General features: G+C 36.5%; 1 protein-coding gene across 15 annotated transcripts in view, besides 1 other annotated feature; it reads right to left on the bottom strand.

Annotated features, from left to right (window-relative positions):
* ST6GALNAC3 (ST6 N-acetylgalactosaminide alpha-2,6-sialyltransferase 3) overlaps positions 1 to 23,558 on the bottom strand; it is a 562,594-nt gene that overhangs the window by 113,289 nt on the left and 425,747 nt on the right. The window lies entirely within an intron of this gene.
* Positions 21,763 to 22,487: an enhancer, noted in NCBI's record as "OCT4-NANOG-H3K27ac hESC enhancer chr1:76967249-76967973 (GRCh37/hg19 assembly coordinates)". NCBI's record gives its function as "activates a minimal SCP1, AML or CMV promoter by ChIP-STARR-seq in naive H9 embryonic stem cells {active_cell/tissue: H9 hESC(naive)}" and the evidence as "EXISTENCE:reporter gene assay evidence [ECO:0000049][PMID:30033119]".

Below are 23,558 nucleotides of genomic sequence, written 5' to 3'. Positions count from 1 at the left end.
AGATAGTTGTAGATAATAAGTATTAGAGAGGCTAAAATCATTGGAAAGGAAGGCTATTGGACAGGTGTAATAATGATCTTCAGCTGCATTTTTTTCTGGAAGATTGTGCTGATTCTTGACATGGGTAGACTGGGAAAGTAGGCTTTCAAATGGCAAGGGGGCACCGTTGGGGACACAGAAACCATTAGACATTTTGGCATTTACAAGGATTGGAGTCAAAAAATTGGAGAATTGAAGAGGCTCAAGACACAACTGATTTTCCCCTCAAAATATTTGCCAAATATTGAAGGTGTGCAGGGTGGAGCTAAAGAGCTAAGCTACAAACCCTGAGTGGTGGAGTGGGACATTTTGTACTCTCCCAGTGCTGAGAATACAAAAACTTGCTAGGATGAATGAGCTAGTGAATGAAGTAGTGTCTTAATTGCAAGCCACAGAGATCTCCAGACTACAGACAAAGGAAACCAAAGATAGACTGAATCTTAATCAAAACTTCTAGCATGTCTAAAGTCAGCCTATTCCTGGATAAATTAAGGTGATAGCCTCTCTATCTGCCTGGCAGAAGAAAGGGTAACCCTTTTCTAATGCAAGATCACAACATCTGGAGCCTCTGTAGTCTTTATTCTCAGTGTTCTGCATTTATTAAAATCCTTTTGGGCATGGCAAGAGACAGGGCCATGGGTCCAAAACCCAAGAGAAAAAGAAATAGGCAACAGAAACAAATCCACACATGATGTAGATATTAAGACAAACATTATAAAAAAAATGAATAACATGAATAAGAAAAATAGATAAATTATACAGCAAAAAGATAAAATGTTGGAGAATTTTATCAGATAATTAAAATCTGAACCAGTCATGTTCTATCTAGTTGGTTAGAAGTCACATTAAGGTTGACGCCTTTGTATCTGATACTGGAGGTTCATGTCTCAAGGTTAAACATTTGAGGAAAAAGAACAGATATCAAGGTTGGGTCAGTGAGAATAAACTGGAATCCACAGGAATAAACTGGAACACATGGGGATGGACCTAGGCTCCTTCCAGTTTCTCACTACTTCTACCATCAGTGGGAATGGTTGCGCACAAGAAGTTAAAAGCCTTTGTCATACAGTTGGCACACCTTTGGCTAACGATTCCGAGAAGCTGAAAGAGGAGTAGCTGAAGGCCTGTCTGCTGCTCAACACCAATGATGTGAACCAACAGATCAATGACAGCATGTGTGAGCTGCAACAGCATTTGAGTCTGTTCATGACTTTCCAGGTGTAAATTAATCTGATCACCGCTTTAATTCCACCTTCCGAATTTCACATGAAATGTCTTTCATGACCCACTTCAATTGGAAACATGGAAGAAAAAGAACTGTGAGAAATGTAGATCAGCCTAACCTAGTTGGCATAATATAAAGCCACCATAGAATCTATACAAAATAATGAGATGGGATTTCTAGAAATAAAAAGTGTTATGTCTTAAAATAAGAACTAAATGGATACATACAGTACCAAGCTGGACAGAGTTGAGGACAAGATTAATGAACTCAAAGACAGTCAATAGAAAAGACCCAAGTGGAAACACAGAAAGAAAAAGAAAGGGAGGAGGCAAGAATAGAGAGAAAGAGAAATTGCATCACATATATGTAACTTGTATATCAGAAAGAGAGAAAATAATTGGAAAGAAACTATATTTGAAGAGATAATGGCAAAAAAAATTTCCAAATTGAAGAAAAGTATCAATCCATAAATTCAAAAAAATCAGCAAACTAAAAGCATAATAAACACTTTTTAAACCATTAAGGCATATCATAGAAAAACTGATTTTTAAAAAATACAGAAGTAAAATAAATCATAAAAGAAGCAAAAGGAAAAAATACACAGTATCTTTGAAGGAGCAGAAATAAGATTACAGCTGACTTCTCAGTAGAAATGATATAAGCCAGAAGAAATTAGAATGGTGTTTTTTTTTTTTTTTTTTAGAAATGGAGTCTCACTCTGTCACCCAGGCACCCAGGCTGGAGTGCAGTGGTGGGATCCCAGCTCACTGCAACCTCCACCTCCTGAGTTCCTGAGTTCAAGCAATTCTCTTGCCTCAGCCTCCCGAGTAGCTGGGACTACAGGTGCATGCCACCACATCCAGCTAATTTTTTGTATTTTAGTAGAGACGGGGTTTCACCGTGTTGCCCAGGCTGGTCTCGAACTCCTGAGCTCAGGCAATCCACCTGCCTCGGCCTCCCAAAGTGCTAGGATTACAGGTGTGAGCCACCACGCCTGGCCTGGAATATTTTTTAAATGCTAAAAATAAATGTCAACTAGCATTGTACACTCAATGAAAATATATCTCAAAAATAAATATGAAATACTAATATTTCCAGAAAAACAAAAATCAAAACAATTCCTCTTGGTAGGACTGTACTAAAGGAAATATTAAGTCAACTTCTTCTTCATAAATAACATAATCAATCATAAAGGAAAATGCAGAAATGAAGGAAAAAATGAAGAGCAATACAAAGATAAATACTTGGGTAAACATAAGTGAATATAAGCCAGGTGCCATGGCTCACAACTGTAATCCCAGCTATTCAAGAAGCTAAGGCAGGGGGTTTGCTTGAGCCCAGAAGTTTTGAGATAAGCTCAGTTGCCCACTTAGCAACATAGTGAGGCTCTCTATCAATCTCCCTCCCTTTCTCCCACCTTCTTTTCCTCTCCATGTGTGTTTGTGTGTGTGTGTGTATATGCATGTATGTACGCGCGTGTGTGTGTGTATATATATATATATGTCTGTATATATATGGCACAAAATAACAATGTTTATGTTTGGGGAATTTAAAATATATATAAAATTAAAATACATGACAATAATACCAAAGGGATAAATGAAGTTAAAGTGTTATAAGGTTGTATCCTTATTGTGGAAGAGGTGAAAGCAATCATTTGAATTAAGCTGTAATAAGACATGGGTACATATTTTTATCTCTTAGGCATTAAAAGAATTGTTTAAAATGTAAAAATAATAAGATAATAAACTATTGAATGACAAATCACCTGATTAATCTAAAAGAAAGAAAAACCAAAGGCATTTAAAAAAGATCAGGTAGGCTAAATAATAATAAGGTGGATATAAATCCAAATACATCAATAAGTACATTAACAAACAAAATAATTCAAGTAGAAGATTAATATTTTCAAGCTAATTTTTAAAATTTATATGTGTGTACAACAGTAGAGTGGTACTGTGTACCATGTAGTTACAAACCAAATAAAACTGGTATGGCTATATTGATATTAGTCAAACAGAAAGCATTACTTGGAATAAACAAGGTCATATCACAGTGATAAGGTGTCCGTCCACCAGGACGATATATACCAATTCTAAATCTCAATGCAACCAATTAAAAAAAAAACTTAGCCAGGTCTCTGAAATCTATAAGCCATGCAGATAAAAGAGCCTCCAAAGTAAGTAATTTTTTCCAGATGAACCACAAATAAGCACAAGATCAGAAGTAGTAGTGAAGGCTAGAAGTAGAAAACTATGGGTGGTTGGACCAGTATGTTTATTATTGTGTGTGTGTGTGTATGTGTGTATGTGTGTGTATGGTATGTGTGTGTATACTATGCCAATTCCCTGTCCTCAGAGCAGCTGACCTCAATGTTTGCTTCTAGGATTATGCTGTAAATACAGCTTTATAAAATGGGAATTCTGAGAAGTACCTCTGATAACTTATGGTCTCCTGTGCCAATACAAGAGGCTATGACCTATCCTTATAGAGGGGCCCTTTATGTGTCTCTCTTCCCTTGTCTAGTACATAGAACGAAGGCTCCTGTTACTAGTACCTGTATTTACCATTACTTCTCATTTGTGCTGAGTAAATAAGATGACACTATCAATACTTTTCCATCAAGACATAATCAATTACTAAACATTTGATAGAATCACAGTATGAAAAAAGAGTCACTGACTCAACAAGCAAAAAGGTAACCACTAAGAAAATGAGAGTTAATATAGAGGAAACAGAAATAAAATGGAAATATGTATTTAATTTTTTAAAGTGTATATTTAAAAATATATACACTTCAGTGTATATAAGTGTAAAAATATATAATTTTTAAAGTGTATAAATATATATGAAAATATACATACAGTGTGTGTGCATGCATGCATGTATATATTTATATATATTTATACACTTTTTAAAATTTTCATAAATATTTATGATAAAAGCAACTGGCTGCTATAAAAAATTAATGGGCAGAATCCTTGGAAATTAAAAGCACAATTACCATAAACTTAATAAATCAGCAGAATAGTTGAAACTAGAATAATAAAATAGAAGATTAAAATGAGGGATTCTCCTAGAAAAGAGTACAGATGACAAAGGGTTGAAAAGTATGAAAAATGAATTAACTCATGGAGAATGCCCATACTGCATATCCACAAAGATTAATGAACCAACTATACGTATCTTCGTGATGTAGAGCTGCACTAATCACTAGCTACACATGGCTATTTACATTTAAGTTTAAATTAATTAAAATTTAAGAAATTTTAAAATTCAGTTCGTCAGTCTACTACTCACATTTCAAAGAAAGGTTCAAGAGACATATGTGCTAGGTGGCTGTGTTTTGGACAGTGCAGTGAATAATTCCTTGCAAAGAAACAAGGAACTGATTGATACCATTATCTTCATCAGAAAATGTGGATGCAAAGAGACTGTAGAAGCATGTCTTCAAAATTCTGAGAAAACATAATTTTTAACCTAGAATTTTACATTGAAATTATCTTTAATGTGTGAAGGCTGAGGTAACATTTTCAGTCACAGGGTCTCAGGAAGCTTTATCTAATAGGAGTCTTTTGAAGAAAATATTTGAGGATATATTTGAGGAAAAACAAAAAAAAATCTAAAAAAAGATGACACTGTGAGATACAAGGAAAGACGGTCAACAATTTAACCAGAATGCATGTTTTTAAGTCTAAAAAGTATTGATAATAAAGCTAAGTGATACATTTTATTTTATTTTTTTCCAGACAGAGTTTCGTGGCACGATCTTGGCTCACTGCAACCTCTGCCTTCCGGGTTCAAGTGATTCTCCTGCCTTAGCCTCCTGAGTAGCTAGGCTATAGGCGTGCATCACAATGCTTGGCTAATTTTTTTGTATTTTTAGTAGAGACAGGGTTTCACCATGTTGGTCAGGCTGGTCTTGAACTTCTGACCTCCAGTAATCCGCCCGCCTTGGCCTCCCAAAGTGCTGGGATTACAGGCATGAGCCACTGCGCCCCCACTAAATGACACTTTAAAGGGCAATTTCCAGGAAATAATTCCTAAGAAAATGGCTTTAAAGAACAAATAAGCTGAATATATATGTTGATGATCATTTTAACAAAACACAGGAAGGGGCAGGGAAGTAGAAAGAAAATGAAAAATTACTGAGAATCTAATTCAGAAAGAGCAATTTTAGGACATACTTAATGTCAACATAGAATTGGAAATTGTAAGTTTACATACTGTATTTAAACAAACACGATGTGAGAAAAATGGAATGCAGAATTACTAAAGAAAGAATGAAGAAAAAATACCCTAATAAAATAAGCTTAATACAAAAGAAGAAGAAAAATAAACAAGCAGGTTATACATGATTAAATATTTCGATCATTACAACAAATGTGAATTAAGTAAAACTCCTCATTAAAAATAGAAGCCATGTCAGATATACATAATAATTTTAGCTACATTCTCTTTACTAGAATCATAATTACATGAAAATGACATAGAATGGTCGAACATGAAGATTCACTAATAAATCAAGACTGGTCCTATCAATCATAAATATACTTGAGTATAAGATGAAAATAATTAAAAAATATTAAGATAATACATCATAGGTACTTAGCAACATGCATCAAAAATATAAGGTCAACTTATTAAAATTTTATAAGGAGAAATAAACAAGTTCACTGTTGTATTTGGACACAAATTATAAATCAATGATATGAAGTAGTCAGAAATAAACAGCAATATAGATTATTCAATATTAAAAGTTATATCCAACAAACAAAAATGACTTATTTTTAATAGTTACAGAATATTTTAAAAGATTGACTACATAAGGCCACAAAATAATTTTACACATTTGTAACAGTAGAAATTATGGTCCACACTTTCTGGCTAAATAAATAAATAGTAAAAATGAACACCTCCTTCCTGCAAAAACAAAGAACGACAAGAAAACTCTCCAATTGCATACATTTAAAATCTCAATTTTAATAAATCTTGACTGTAAGAGGAATTCAAAATTAAAATCACTGAGTCGCTGTGAATATATACTAAAATAGGCTACTGCAAAGATAAACTCAAAGGAAAAATAAGTAGCCTTAAAAATGTACCAATTAATAGCAAAAATGTTGAAAATAATTAAATAATCAACTTAATAAACAACAAAGAAAGTAAAACAAAGTTGAAGGAAATAATTAATAAGGGTGGAAAATAAACACAGCAATAATTTACAGTAAGCCTTTAAAAGGTTTAAATTTAAAAGGTTTAATTAATCAAGGTTGGCTTGATTAATCACAGCAAAAGGCGACTCTGCAAGAATAAATAAAATCTATAAAAAATTGACAAGTTTATGAAAAACTATATAAAAGTTAGATAAAATTTTAAAAATCAGCTTGACTATATGACAAAAATAAAACATTAAAATTATACTTAAAAAGTCATATTGACTAGAACAATAAGACATTAAAACACATAAACATAGAGGTACCAAAAATGTGTAAGATCTATATTAAAAATGAAAAAATTGTATGATAAGACATTCAAAAAGCCTTGAACATATAAAACAATATATTGTGTTCTTGGGTGGGGAGAGTCCATATTTTAATGTATTGATTCTATATAAATCTATAGATAAAATTTCAATCAAAATCCTAATGATTATTAATCAATTTAAACAGATAATTTGTTGGTTTATATGGAACAATAAAATAGGCAAGAATCCCAAAGAAATTTTTAAATTATGCCATAATTAATTGGAATCTGTCTCACCAGATATCAAATTTAAAAAGAAAATGATAAAAGGACTTAGAAAAAATTTTTATAAGACTGAAAGATTTTACTATACATATATTTTAATTTCCATGTGGAAAAAGCTACAGTGAACAAAGTTAAAAGATAACTAGGAGGAAACAGTCATAACATCTATAATATACAAAGGTTTAATATTCATTTTATACAGAGCTCTTTCAAAAAAATATAAAGACAAGCTAATAGAAATCTGAACAAAGGACCATTTACAAGAGAAAATATACACGAACTAAGAGACATATGCTGTGTTTGTTTGTTAACTCACTAGCAGAGGGAATAAAAATTAAAATAAGAAGACAGTAACTTTTTGCTCATTAGATTGAGAATATAAGAAAAAGGTTGATACTATTTTTGAAAATGTGGTGAAAAGAGCAAGCTCAGATGTTATCTAAGCACAGTTCTTTTTGAAGCTATCTGTCAGAGTGTAGCTATCAAAATATAAAATGCAAATATCCTCTGACATAGCAAGCTCACTTCTAGAAATCTTTTGTGTAAAAAAGCTTGCATTTATACGAAAGACATATATACTCATTAATAGCAAAAAAGTATATTTTTAATTGCCAATTATAAAAACCTATTTTAAAAAGTTTAAGCCAAACCAAACAAAAGCAAACAGGAAAAGCATATGCTCATCAAAAGCAAACAATAGAAAAAAGAAGGAAATGTATAATATATGTATACACACATACATGTATGTATGTATATCTATAATCTCCAAGGCATATTGTAACATTTTAAAAAAATAACTCAAAGAATTTGACATCAGAAAGGCCTCTTGGCCTGCACATACCCATTTCCAGCACAACAGCTGGCTTGAAGTCAGCCCTACATTACTGGAGAAAGGCACTGTGCAGCTTTCCAGCATATGCATGCCCATCCATGGTTGCACAGCCAGCTTGGAGCACTCAGATATATAAAGTACGTATTATTAGTTCTAAAGGGAGAGATAGACAGCAATACAATAATAGTATCGGACTTTAACACTCCACTGTCAACAATGAACAGATCATACAGACAGAAAATCAACAAAGAAACATCATATTAAACTACACTACAGACTAAATGAACCTAACAGGTATTTACAAAACATTCCATCCAACAGCTACAGAATGCACATTCTTCTCAACTGAAAATAGAACATCCAGGATAAATGATACTGCAGTCTACAAAACAAGACTTAAAAATTTAAGAACATAGAGATCATATCAAGTATCTTTTCAGACCATAATGGTACAAACCTAGAAATCAACAACGAGAAAAACTTTGGAAATCTTACAAATACATGGAAATTAAATAACATGCTCCAAAGTAACCAACTGGGTAAGTAGACGAAAGGGAAATTTAAAAATTCCTTGAGACAAATGAGAATGGAAACACATCATACCAAAACTTATGGAACACAGCAAAAACAGTTCTAAGAGGAAAGTTCATAGCAATAAATGCCTACATCAAAAAATAAGGAAGATTCCTGATAAATAACTTAACCAAACACCTCAAGAAAATAGACAAACAAGAAGAAACTAAGCCAGAATTGGTAGAAGAAAGGAAATAATAAAGCTCAGAGCAGAAATAAACAGAGACTAAAAAATTAAAAAAAACAACAAAAGAGTTGGTTTTTTTAAAGATAAAATAAACAAACATTTAGCTAGTCTATGAAAAAATATGATAAGATCCCAAAACTTCAAGTCAGAGATGAACAAGGTGACACTACAACTGACATCACAGAAATACGAAGGATTGTAAGATTAAATTATGAAGAAACTGAAAATTTGGACAGATCAATGATGAGTGAGGAAATTGAATCAGTAATAAAATACCCTCCATCAAAAAATAAAATACAAAGCCCAGCCTGATGGCTTCACTGCTGAATTCTATCAAACATTTAAAGAACAATACTGATGCTTGTCACACTATTCCAGAAAATAGAAGACTAGGAAATACTTCCAAACTAATTTTATGAGGCAGCATTACCCTGATTCCAAAGCCACACAAGGACACAACAAAAAAAGAAAACTAAAGTCCAATATTCCTGATAAACATAGACATAAAAATTCTCAACATGAAACTAGCAAACAGAATATAGTAGCATATTAAAAAGATCAATTACTGTGTTCAAGTGGAATTTATCCCAGAGATGCAAGAATGGTTCAACATATGCAAATCAACAAATGTGACACACCACTGTCTTAGTTTATTTGGTGTTGTAATAAGAGAATACCAGAGACTGGGTAATTTATAAAGAAAAAAGGTTTATTTAGCTCATAGTTCTGCAAGCTGAGAAGTTCAAAAGCATGCTTGGCTTTTGCAAGGGCTTTTGCTGCGTCACAACATGGCAGGGAAAGTCAAAGGAAGAGCATATGTGTGTAAAGAGAGGGAATCCTGAGGGGCATCCTGGCATTATGACAACCCACTCTCACTGGAACTTATCCATTTCTGCAAGAACCAGTCCACTCCTGAGAGAGTGAGAACTCACTGAGAATAGAACCAAGTCATTCATGAGAGATCTGTCCCATAACCAAAACACCCCTACCACTAGGCCCCACTTTCCAGTGCTGCCACACTGGGGATCCAATTTCAACATGACCTTTGGTAGGGACAAACAAACCATATCCAAACCATACAACCACATTAACAAAAAGTAAGAGGAAAAAAACCATATGATCATTTAAATAAATGGAGAAAAAGCTTCTGGCAATATTCAACACCCTTCGTGATAAAAACTCTCCACAAATTAAGTATAAAAGGTATGTACCTCAACACAGGAAAGGCCACATATGACAAACCCACAACACAATACTGAATGTGCTTGCCAGAGCAACTAGTCAAGAGGAAGAAATAAAAGGCATGCAATTTGGAAACAAGAAAGTCAAACTATTCCCATTTACAAATGACATGATTTTATGTATAGAAAACCCTAAAGATTCCACAACAAAACTGTTAAAACTAATAAATGAATTCAGTGAAGTCACAGCACACTAAATCAACATACAAAAAAATCAGTAGCATTTCTGTATGCTAGAAGCCAACTATCTGAAAAAGAATTCAGGAAAACAATTCCATTTACAATAGTTTCCAAAAATTAAGATGTCTAGGAATAAACTTAACTAAGGAAGTGATAGATCTCTACACTGAAAACTATAAAACGCTGAGGAAAGAAATAGAGGAAGACACAAGTAAATGGAAAGATATCACATATTTATAGATTAGAAGAATTGATATTGTTAAAATGTCCATACTACCCAAAGTTATCCACAGATGTAATGCAATTCTTATCAAAACACCAAATACCAAAATACCAAAATACCAAATTCTTATCAAAATAAAGAAATAGAAAAAGAAAATCCTAACATTTATATGGAACCACAAAAGGCCCGACATAGCTAAAGCAATCCTGAACAAAAAGAACAAAGCTGGAGGCATCACACTACCTGACTTTAAAATAGATTACAAAGCTGTAAGTACCAAGACATTATGGTACTAACATATAAGCAGACACACAGATCAATGGAACACAATAGAGAGCCCAGAAATAAATTCACCTAGCTACATTCAACTTATTTTCAACAGAGGTGCCAAGAATACACATTATAGAAAAGACAGTGTTTTAAATAAACAGTGCTGGAAAAATAGGATATCCACGAGCAGAAGAATGAGTCTAGACCCTTACTTCTCACCACATGCAAAATCCAACTAAATGGATTAAAGGCTAATTGTAAAGTCTATAACTATGAAACTACTAGAAGAAAACATAGGGGGAATGCTTTACAACATTGGGCATGGCAGGGATTTTAAAAATAAGACCTCAAAAGCATAGGACACAAAAGCAAAAATAGACAAATAGAATTATGTCAAACTTAAAAGGTTTTGCACAGCAAGAAAAACAATTAACAAAGAGAAGAGACAACCTATAGAATGGGAGAAAATATTTGTAAACTATACATTCGACAAGGAGTTAATATCCAGAATATATTAGGGACTTAAACAAAAGAAAAAAAACCCAATATACCTAAATAGATATTTTTCAAAAGAAAAAGTGAGACACACAAATGGCCAATAGGCACATGAAAAAATGCTTGACAGCATTAATAATCAGGGAAATGCAAATCAAAACCACAATGCGATATCATCACCTTGCTCCATTTAGAATGGCTGTTATCGAAAAGAAAAAAAGTGTGTGTGTTTGTGTGTATATAAATAAAGAGTTGATATAATAGAAGCAGAGAGTAAAACAGTGGTTACCAGAGATTAGGGAGAGGAGCAAGAAGGGAGGATAGAGAGAGGCTGGTCAACGGGTACAAAGTTACAATTAGACAGGAGGAATAAGTCCTGGTGTTCTATTGCACAGTAGGTGACAATTGTTAATAGGATGGTATTGTGTATTACCAAATATCTAGAAGAGAAGCTTTTGAATGTTCCACCACTGTGAAGTGATGGATACACTAAACACCTTGATTTGATCATTATACAACATATGTGTATCAAAATATCAAATTGTACACCATAAATATGTGTAATTATAAAATGTGTCAATAAAAAAGTTTTAGAAGTATCATCTTAAAAAAACTCAAGTGGTAGAATAATACTGAGAGTATAATTTTAATTTTATCTACTAACAAGAAGCAACAAAAAACAACACATAAATACATGGTGTATGCATGGATGCATACATGCATAGAAAAAGGAACAGACTCTTATTAGGGATTACCTGTGGACAGCAGTGTGGGTTTGAAGGAGAAATGGAGGCGTTCTTTCACATAGTTTTATTCTATTTTTTTCATAGTAGTAAATTTTTCCCCCATAAAAATCAAAATATTCAAGTACGACATTTTTCTATTTAAAACAACCATTTAAAAAGAAGAAATTATGTTATGGGAGCACAGAGGAAGAAGAGATTAATGTCAGGAAATAATTCCAAACTTGGATCCTAAGATACAGTCTCTGACCTTTAGAAGGTGAGGAGAGATAAATATTTCTCAGATCGCCATGACACACAGTATCACATGACACACAGAGGTCCAAAGACAAGTAACAACAAATTGTAGGAACAGTTAGAAGAGAGCTATTACTTCAAATACATTATCCAATAATTTATTTTCCTTCACCACTTAATGTTGAGAGGAAAATTGAATTCATTTGAAATCATTTATTCATATCCCTAAACTGAACGGCATATTGATTTTGATATTCATTTTCACTATATTCAAGAGGCCTTCGATGTGGAGCCCTTTCCATTTTTAAGTGTCCTCAAATCACCATGATTGTACTGCCTCTCTCTGAATGGCAAAAAGGCACAGCCACACACAAGGGAGACGTTTCCTGCTCAGTTTAGCTGAATTTAACAAACATTGGCTGAATGGCTTTTATGTGCCAGGTACTGCACAAGGGCTGGAAAAGGGAAGATGAAAATTCTGTATCTTTGCTCTAAAGAATCTTTAAACCTACCGGGGAGAACAGAGGCATAAATACCCGAGCTGTGCTCAGGTCACTGTGGGAGGAAAGGGGAGGGGCACCGCACACAGGCTAGGGATGTGAGCAGCAGCAGGAGTTAGTGAGTGGGGGAAGGTAAAAGGTGGAGGCAGGTCCATGGGCCTGAAACAGCACAGCTGCCTGCCAGGAGGCGGAATCCACTCTTTCTGGATTGTAACTGATGAGAGTGGGTGGAAAAGAGAAGGTGGAGGTGAGGTCAGAGAGGAGGACTGAGGTCAGACACTTGAGGGCTTCAAATGAGAGTTAAAGGATGTCAGCTCTCTTCTGAGCAAGATTTGAAGGGTTTTAAGTCACACAGTTAGATTTACTTTATAAATGGATCACTTTGGTGTAGGATAAGAGTAGAGGGCAGGGACACTAGATAGGAAGCTTTGGCAAAAGACCCTGATGTCCTGAACTACAGTGGTAACAGCTGGGAGGGAAAATAGAGATGTGTTTGAGAAACCCCATCTGGGAAGCCAATTTACCAGGCTTGGGTTATGAGGATTAAATGAGTTAATACATACAGATAGTCCCCAATTTATGATGGTTTGACCTACAGTTTTTTTAATTTTATGATTATGCAAAAGCAACATGCATTCAGTAGAAACTGTACTTTGAGCACTCATACGACCATTCTGGTTTTCACTTCCTGTACAGTATTTAACAGATTACATGAGACATTCATCACTTCATCATAAAATGCACATTGTGCTTAGTGATTTTTGTCCAACCGTAGGCTAATTTAAGTGTTCTGAGCATGTTTCCGGTAAGCCAGGTTTAGCTATGATGTTTGGTAATTTAGGTGTACAGTATTGAATGCATTTTTGACTTCCACTATTTTCAACTTCCAATGGGTTTATCCAAATATAACCCCATCATAAGTCAAGGAGCATCTGTGTACAGATCTGAGATAGTGCATAGCCTAGAGGAAACACCATATAACTGTCTGTTGTTATTATTATTCTTGGGTCCACTATACTCTGTCTTCACTTTCTACTTCTTGGACCATCCTTCTAGGTTCCGTCTCTCTGGTTCCATACCTCACTCTATTGTTCCTATATAATATGTTCTTGTGTTTTATGTGTAATAACTGGCTGCTGGCTTCTAGACTGCAAAGGCTGTGTCTCATTTTTTTTTTTCCTAGCACCCACCTGGCACAAAGTCCTCAAGATATTTTTGGTGAAGGGTAGAAATCAAAGGCCACAATATCTTACACGTAGTATTTTTAGCTCATAATCATGCCTCCAAATGGTGAAGACCCATTTTAAAGTTGTTGGCCAGAGCTCCTAGTATGCTGTGGGTTAAATCATGTCCTACCTATTAATGCTGTGATTACTTACTCTAACAGGGAAAAGCTATGCCATCCAAGCCTTTGATTTCATCAGCAGCAGATGACACTTCAGGGCAGAACCACTATGTTTTAACTGTGCCCTACAGGATCAGTCTCAGCCCTCAGAAAACAAACACTTACTTTCTGTCACCGTCAGGCTGATACTTAAAGGACTGAGAAAATCCTTTTTTTCCCTGTGTTAGATAGAATAATAGCTCCCTAAAGATATCCCCACTCTAATACTTGAAACCTGTGAATATGTTGCTTTACATGCCAAAAAGGACTTCATAGGTGCAATTAAATTAAGGATCTTGAATTTGAAGGATTATTCTGGCCCAATGTAACCATGGGGGTCCTTAAAAGAGAAATAGAGAAACAGCAATGTGAGGAAAAGATATGTGAGAATGGAAGCAGAAATTGGTGGAGTGGGGCCGTGAGCCAAGGATGTAGGCAGTCTTGCATTTTTTGCTGGAAAAAGAAATAGATTCTCCCTTGGATCTTCCAGAAGGAATGCAGCCCTAACAACCCATTTTAGACTTCTAACTTCGAACTGTATAAAATAACTTTGTGTTGTTTTAAACCACAAAGTTGGTGATAATTTGTTATAGCAGCAATAGAAAACTAACACATTCCCCTAACTCAAATCTCGTTGGTATAAATCATTTCCAGTTTATTCCATCCCTTTCATGTAGATTCAATACCTCAAGAACTGCTCTTACATTTCAAAGTGTCAGAATTAGCATGGCTTCTCTATCTTTTTATGATTCTGACCAAGAAAATCCTGTAGCATCAGCCAAACCCCAATATTATAAATTTCCACCCATTCTTAATATGAAGTTCATCTGACTCAAGCTAGTTTACTGGATTCCTGCCAATATTCTTTAAACCATTCTTTGAATGCAAATTAGGTAACAACTACTCACTGCCTGCTGCCCCTTTTATTTATCTTCCAATTTGTGTTTTCCTGTTTGTTTGCCTGTTTATTTGTCCTAGACTGCACTGAGTGATAGAGATACTTTCTTAGACCACAAGCATTAAAATCATTTTACACTACATCAACAATTGACGAACAACTCTGTTGGTGTTTCCAGAATAAATAATTCCATTCCCATTTATCGACGAGTTGAAAAATGACAAGCTGTTCAACTCTTAGACTCATGTTAGAAGCATCCCAGACCTAGCCTATTCTGTCCTACTTGGTAAAGTATTTATTCTAAATGCATATTGTCCTTACTAAGTTGACACTCTAAACTCACCATCTGGTTTATCCTGGAAATTTATGTCTACTTTGATGTGACAAAAAATTTTCTTATTGGTTCTTCAATGAGAAATATGCCCAGTTTCTCAGAAATCAGCTGAATATTTTCAACTTTTCCATAATGTAAAAGTGACAGTGTGTTCCGGTAGCTGTAAAACTGTAGAGAATAAATGGGGAGGATGAAAGAAGATCACAGAGTATATGCTACCTGATGATCACCTAGAAACCTGGGGTCCAGCTAAGCCCCTGGCTGGTGCTTGCTGTGAAGCTCTCTGCATTCTCTGACTACCCTTCCCGAAGTCTCTTTGGATGCCTTCCTCAGCAACACTGGGGCTGTAGGGGTAGACTCCGGGGGGTTATGCTTCAGCAATACTGGGTCCCAGGTGCCGAACTTCAAACACAATGCTGCCTTCCTAGGTCTTTCTGTGCAGACTCTGGGAGCTGTCCTGTCCACAGAGATTAGAATGTTGAAATTTTCCTGTCATTATATAACTATAGTAGTGGGCCAAATTCCTCTAAGGCAGGAGTCCCTAACCCTAGGGCCACAGACCGGTACCTGTCCCTGGCCTGTTAGGAACTGGGCAACACAGCAGTAGGTGAGCGGTGGGCAAGCGAGCATTACTGCCTGAGTTCCATCTCCTGTCAGATCAGCAGCAGCATTAGATTCTCACAGGAGCACGAATCCTGTTGTGTACTCTGCGTGCGACGGATCTAGGTTGTGCACTCCTTATGAGAATCTAACGCTATCCCCCACATCCACACCTCATGGAAAATTTTTCTTCCATGAAACCAGTCCCTGGTGCCAAAAAGGTTGGAAACCGCTGATCTAAGGCGAGTCTACTAGTCAAGGTAAAGAAGTGAAAGGAGCCAATAAGCACATGAAAAGACGCTCAACATTATTAGCCAACAGGAAAGTCCAAATCAAAACCACAGTGAGGTGCTGCTTCACATCCACTAGGATGGCTATAATAAAAAAGACAAGTAATAGCAAATATTGGTTAGAATGTGGAGAAATTGGAACCCTTGTACACTGCTGGTGAGAATGTATAAGGGTACAGCTGCTTTGAAAAACAGTCTAGCACTTCCACAAAAGCCTACACATAAAATTCTCATATGACCTAACAATTCCACTTCTAGGTATTTACCCAAGAGAAAGGAAAACCTGTGTCCACACAAAGAGTTGTAAAGGAATGTTCATAACCACATGATAATAATAGCCAAAAAGTAGAAATAACCCAAATGTCTGTCAGAGGATGAGTGGATAAATGAACTGTGGTATTTCCATAATATGACAGAGTATAACTTAGCCATAAAAATGAATGAAGTACAGATACATGCTACAATACAGACGAACCTTGAAAACATTACGTCACTCACAATAGACCACATATTTATCAGTGCATTTATATGGAATAGCCAGAATAGGCAAACCTATAGAGACAGAAAGTAGATTGGTGGTTTCAAGGGCCCAGCAAGTGTTGGGGGGCCTGAGAGGTGTTGGCTAAGAGGTATGCGGCTTAATTTTGGAGTGGTGAAAGTGTCCTAAAATTGATTGTGAGAATGATTGCACAACTCTGAATATACTAAAAGCCATTGAATTATACACTTTAAATGGGTAAATTATATAGCATGTGAATTATATCCTAATAAAGCTGTTTTATTTTAAAAAAGAAAAGGAAAAAAGAAGTGAAAAGAATAAATATGTCCAATAAAGATGATTTCTTGAGCTGTGTCACTGGTTACTTGACCATATTACCTCCTCCAGCGACCTCTCCCTCCAAGTTCACCTACCTTATACTTAGGACCAACAGGATTGAAGCTAGCAGCAGCTCCTGAGCGATATAGCTCTGGACTAGTCAGAATTTGAGTTTTGTCTGTTTGTGAAATAATGAACAGCAGAGGCATGTGTTTGATCCTGCTTGCTTCTTTCTGAAAACTTCTGCCAGAGCTCAACTGCATGTCACTTTTCATTGTTCCCAAAGAAATGTTCACTTTAAATATTTATTTCTGCTATTTCACTCATGCTCCAAGGCTCCACTCCACTATGTCAACATTCATATATATTTACTTCTATTGACTTCCAGTCATTTCTCCACGGCCTTCCCTACATGGAGAGGTGACAGCTGATTGCCTTTGTGACATGATTTGAGTGTTGTCATCTGATCCAAGCTTCTTTAGACATATTGTCTACCGCGGTCTGCCTCTTTTCACTAGCCAAGGCACCTGCCTGGAACCTGAAACGCCCTTTATTAGTGTCTCCTTTGGAATAAAACTTCGCAGTCTACCTTCAAGTATAAATGTGTCTTGGAAAGAAAAGCATGTCGATATATTCCTAGATAAATCCCCCAATATGGAACCAAACGCAGTAATTACTTGATATTTTTGAGAAATGGGTTGGGAAAGTCTGGAGCATGTGGCACAACCTAGGGAGGGTTTTGCTATGTTGATAACCTCAGCAAAGGTGACTGGGAAGATGCACACAGCCAGGGAAAGAAAGCCTCAGGGCAATTAAAATCTGCTTAAGCAGACCACTGAAAGAAAAAAGTGACCATTAGGCCAAGATATGAAGTTTTAGAGATCTTTCATTTAATTCACAGTTTTGCCTGAGACAGGCCCAGATTCCTTCCTTCCTGGGATATGAGTCTTCTCTTTCTTTTCCATTTTAATGCAATATCACTTCTGTCGTATGTCAGTAGTACCAGAAATGGTTGCTTTCCCTGCACCACGTAGACATCAGCTAATACAAATTTGCAAGGGCCTCAAGATTCAGCAGAGTAAAGGGTTCTACATGTATTGTAAACAAGCGACTGACTATCATGATCTCACAGCCTCCATTTCAAAGAGCCTAGCAATATTCTGGAGCTTATTAGCATATCCATGTGTCAAATAAAGCCCATGTTTCATATATAGTGCCTTATTAAATAATGATTATGTCTCAAGGTAGGAGATGAACATATTTCATCTTTTTTTTTCTCTGCAGTTAAATAAGAAGGTTACCCTCAGCAGCTATTGACAGGTATGAATGGCCAAATCGACACTGTTCCTGGCACTGAAATTTAAGCTGCACCCACTTTCCCCATGCACACGTTGCCCCATGCATCTATTTTAAAATTATTTCTGACTTTAAGATTAGCAAAGGTGAAAGATTCATGATAGTGTAGCCTAGGGCTCTCCATGCTGAACTCCATTTTCAGTGTTTTAATATATGATACAACACTGCATTTCAAGCAATGCACAGCCAGAGGGACTAGATCTGCTTCTCCAGGGATGTTGAGGTGATTCTACTTCCAAACTTATTGAGATCTTTGCTTCTTTGGAAATAAAATTCTAAAGTTAGACTGAGTCTTGCCATTCTGGACCCTGTCTAGGTTTTGCTTGGAGCTATTTATAAGTGAATGACAATCATTCCCTGTGGTGTCAATAATTGATGATGTAGGACAAGCTGTAGTTTGATTAATGTCTAAATGCTATTTGACATATACCCAAATTTTAAAAATAGTTTTGGTGGCCAGGCGCAGTGGCTCATGCCTGTAATCCCAGCACTTTGGGAAGCCAAGGTGGGTGGATCACTAGGTCAGGAGATCGAGACCATCCTGGCCAACATGGTGAAACCCCATCTCTAGTAAAAATACAAAAAATTAGCTGGGCATGGTGGCACGCACCTGTAGTCCCAGCTACTCGGGAGACTGAGGCAGGAAATTGCTTGAACCCGGGAGGCAGAGGTTGCAGTGAGCTGAGACCGCGCCTCTGCACTCCAGCCTGGGTGACAGAGCGAGACTCTGTCTGAAAAAAAAAAAAAGCTTTGGCTTCCCATTTCCTGCTTCTATCGCTACTAAAAATAATGCTTCTACTAGGTACCAGAAAATATTTGGCCACATTAACTAATAGAGAATTGTTTTCTGTTTAGCAGGACTATGACGGAAAGATATCTATTTCCTCATTGTGTATGCTGAGTTTCAAGTGTGAAATTACCGTATGAGAGAGAAATACTGGAAGCCTCTGACTGCTCTATCCTTGAATGAGGCCACATCTGAAGTACGATAGAAAAAAATGACAGTGCATGTGATCCTATTAATATGCTTCTTATTAAAATAACTGAATACCTAGTATTGACACTAATAGATACTACTACTTAATAGTTTAGAAAAGCTCAAATAGCAAATCATATAAATCTTACAATATTAAAACCTCACTTTAATATGATCTATCACATTCCAGGGCCAAAGAACACATTAGGTTCTTTCAAATCTAAGACTCTATACAGTGAAAGCCCAAAGTAACTTAGTCTTACCATTTAACACAAGCATATAAAGGTTCCTCGAGCATCAGTTGGGTTTCTTGTATACTTTAAATACAGATTACTTTCATGTGGTATGAAAGTATAATTCTTCACACTAGATATTGGAGCCATGTTGACTGTTCATTTATTTATTCCCCAGATACTTATTCAATATTGTATCAGGTTGAATGGTGGCTCCCCAAAACTATGTCCACCCAGAACCTCAGAATGTCGTCTTACATGGAATAAAGGCCTTTGCAGATGTAATTAAGGTAAGGATCATTATTAGATGATATAACCCTGGATTAGGGTGGGCCTTAAATCCAATCACAAGTTCTTATAAGAGAAGAAGAAACAGATAAAAAGACACACAGGGAAATTCCATGTGAAGAAGGAGGCAGAGATGGGAGTTACACTGCTTTATGCCAAGGAATGCCAGGTGTAGTCAGCAGCCATAGAATTTAGGAGAAAGGCATGGGACACATTGCCTCTCAGAGCCTCCAGAAGAAACCAACATTGCTGACACCTTGATTTCTGAATTCTGGTCTCCAGAACTGTGACAGAATAAATTTCTGTTGTTTTAAGCCACCGAATTTTCTATGGCAGCCTAGGAACCTAATACAAATATCAGCAACATGCCAGGTTCTGGGCTTGGTACTTGCCATATAGAGATAAAAAACCCAGTTCCTTCCTCTGAAAAGTTTGTGGTTGCCTGGGGAAGAATGTCCAATAAACCAACAGTGACAATGCATTAGAATGGATAGGGAACTGTGAGGATGCCATAGAGGACAACCAACCCAGAAAGTGAACAAGATGTAGTCAGGGAAGCCTTCTGGAAGAGGGGATGGTTGAGCCGAGTTTGTAAAGACTTTCCAGATTATTCAGTCCTGATTAGGACCAAACACACATTTCAGCTGATTACTACTACTACTATTGCTACTGCAATGAACAGAATGTTTAGAGCAGGCAGTCACTAACAGTGTCTAGCACACTTGTCCAGATTTCAAGACTTCTCCAGCTTTCTCAAAGCTCCTTCTCCTCTACATCTTATTAGACTACCCACTTTGTGGGAAAAAAATATTAAGAATTCTTTGAATTGAGACTGTATTCTCTGTAAAAGTACACATTCATCCTGCAAGACAGGAACAGATTTTGCTATTACCAGTCAGTAACACCTCAGCAGGAATGAACCCAGCATTCCTATCTAAAGGGTGCCCTAGATGTGGGAAAGAGAGGCATAGCAAGTTGCAGTGGTATAAAACTGTAAAAGCAAATGAGCAGGCCCCAGTGGGCGTTCTTCCTGCCTGACTGCGGCAGAGCTAAGCCAAATGGAGGGGAGTTGGGCAGTCAGGATGCAAGTTTGTAGGAATGCGAGAATCAGTGGGACACACATTCAGAACAAAGAAGTGAAGGCAAGAGAGTGAGCTCTGAGAGAGGTGTTGCCATTGGATGACTTTCTCTTTGGCAAATCCTGCTTGCTGACAGTGCTGGCCAGCCAGTTATCCTCTCTGCCCCCTTCCTTATATTCTTTTCATGGCTTCATTGATTTTGGTGTATAGAGCTTAAAGCACCCAACTTGTAAGTTCCGTTTCAGGTTATTTAGCGTACAACTCTTAATTTCAACCTTACCTACACTGAGATACGAATTAAAATGTTTTAGCTGAAAATCTGTATTTTTGCCCACACATCCTTATAATAGTCCTACACCTCTGTCATATGCATTAGAAATATTTTAGTATTGTTCATTCACTCTATTTCTCACTTATTAACTTTTGTTTTCTTGTGTTATGGTGGAAAGAACACAAGTTTGTTGTAAGGCAGGTGTACGTTTGGAGCTACTGTGGTCTTGGGCAAGTTATCTAATCTCTACTACCCGGTTTCTTCTGTACAATGGTGTTACAGGTTGAATTGTGCCCTTTTAAAATTTATACGTCTAAATACTTACCCCCCAACTTCAGAAAGTGGAGATAGGGTCTTTATAGAGGTAATTAAGTTGAAATTGTTAACTTACTTGGTTGTTAGGATGGGCCTTAATCCAATCTGACTGCTGTCTCTATAAAAGGAGGAAATCTGGACACAGACATGCAGAGAAGGAAGATTATGTGAAGAGATATAGTGAAAAGACTCATTAACAAGCCAAAGAGAGAGGTCTAGAGCAAATCTGCCCCTCACAGCCCTCAGAAAGAACCAACTCTGCTGACATCCAGATTTTGGACTTCTAGTCTTCAGAACTATGAGACAATAAACTTCTGATGTTTCAGGCACCCAGTTTGTGGTCTTTTTCTTTGGCAACCCTAGCAAACTAATTCAAATGGCAATAATAATAGTTACCTCAAAAGGTGGTTTATGGAGATTATTTAATGTGGCAGAAGTTGTTGGCTGCTTTTTCCAAGACATCACCTTTTCTTGCTAATTAACAGTGCTCTAATTTTTCTTTAGGTAACAGGAAGAGATCCCTTGATCTCAAATAGGTAGAGGCAATCCCTGGAACAGGGTGAGCTTGTGACAGAGCTATGGCCCATGAGATATAAAGGGAGGCTGCTGTGGGGCTCTGAGAAAGATATTTTTTTTCCTGATAAGAGGCGCACAGGAGGAGCAACACTGGCCTGTGTTGCCCTTTGTCTCAAGGCTTTGAAAGTGGATTGTGGGAGTATGTGATGCTTGATGCTGCTGCAGCCGTCTCAGAACGTGGGAACATTGAAGAGGAGAAAAGTATCACAGAAATTGCTGAACTGATCAGGAGCTCTGATTTCATTGATTTGTTGAATCAATTCCAGTGACTGCCTATATCCAGACTGCTTGTCTTAAGAAGAAATAAACTTTTATTGTTTAGGCACTGTTAGCTGGAGATTCTAACAGCAAACCAAAGCAGTCAGCCTCCGGCTTCATACTGTGCACTCATTAAACACCGCTTCCTCTTCCTCTTTGTTCTCCTGTTGAAGCTTCTGAAGCTTTGTTCCTCGTTCTTCCTTTTGAGGTGTCCTTATTTAGGCTGCCTTGATAGCCTGCCTCTTTATCTTTCGTTTAATTTATTTGGAAAAACTGCAGTTAGCTTCCTTATTAGGCGTGGTTTTTTTTCTTTCTTTGACCCATCTCTTACAATTCACTTCCTTCAGTTCATTTTCCACAAACTGACCTCCTCTCCTGCTTTTTAGCTCCCTTTACCCAGAATAAAAAGAGAAGACGAAAAAAGAAAGAAGGAAGGAAGGAAGGAATTTTCTTGTCCCTGGTGTTTGTTTTTGTGCAACTAGGAGGATAAGATCCCGGGATAAAGCCCTTGCTCTGAATCATTTGCCTTGCAAACCACAATTTCAGGATTTACAAATTACAGAGTGTGACCAGGGCTTTGGTGATGGCTCCAGAGGAGAATGGACAGGAAAGGGGCTGGAGTCATTGAACAGGCTCTGGCCTTTTCCATCAGGAGATCACTGGTTTAATTTGGCTCAAGATAATAGCAAGCAAAACTCCAAATGAGAAATAGCTTGTAGGGGGAGGGAGAGGGGAGGAAGTAAAAGGAAAGGCATGTATTTTAAAACCAATTTTCATTTAATACATCACTGACAACATTGGAACAAGGGTAAAAAGAGAAAACATTCCAGTCTTCCTCCTCCTCCTGGGGTCTTCCCCCCACTACCTTAGGATTAATCACAATGTATTATTCCAGGAAGGGTTTATGAATATGTAGTTACATATAATTATAGATAACATTTACTGGTGTAGCCTTTTTATTTTCTACAAATGGGTTCACTGTAAATACTATTCTACAATCTGTCCTTTTACTTCAGAATATATCTTGAATACTTGAGTGTACATCTATATACATTCCACAAATGCCTGAGTAAATGATGAGGTTACTCTGCTAAAATTATCTTTCAGAAAAGAAAGGGAATTATCACCAGGTCTTTGCAAAGTCTCTGAGATTATGAGAAGCTTTCTTTATTACTTAATTTTGAACTAAAGATTATTGTTTGGGAAAGACACATTAGCCTGAAACAATCTCGGTCAACATGAGTTTGTATACCTATTGTGGTCACCTGTGACATTGATTAAAAGGGGAAAATAAATTTATCACAGATTAGTCTTTATTTCTTGGAGTAAGACAAAAAGCTTCAAGCTTAAAATTGTAAAAACAAGCCTTTCAAAGATTATTTACAAA

The sequence above is a fragment of the Homo sapiens genome, chromosome 1 (assembly GCF_000001405.40).
Source record: "Homo sapiens chromosome 1, GRCh38.p14 Primary Assembly".
Classification (NCBI taxonomy): domain Eukaryota; kingdom Metazoa; phylum Chordata; class Mammalia; order Primates; family Hominidae; genus Homo; species Homo sapiens.
Note: the sequence above shows the minus strand (reverse complement) of the source record. Positions and strands in the feature narration are given on the sequence as shown.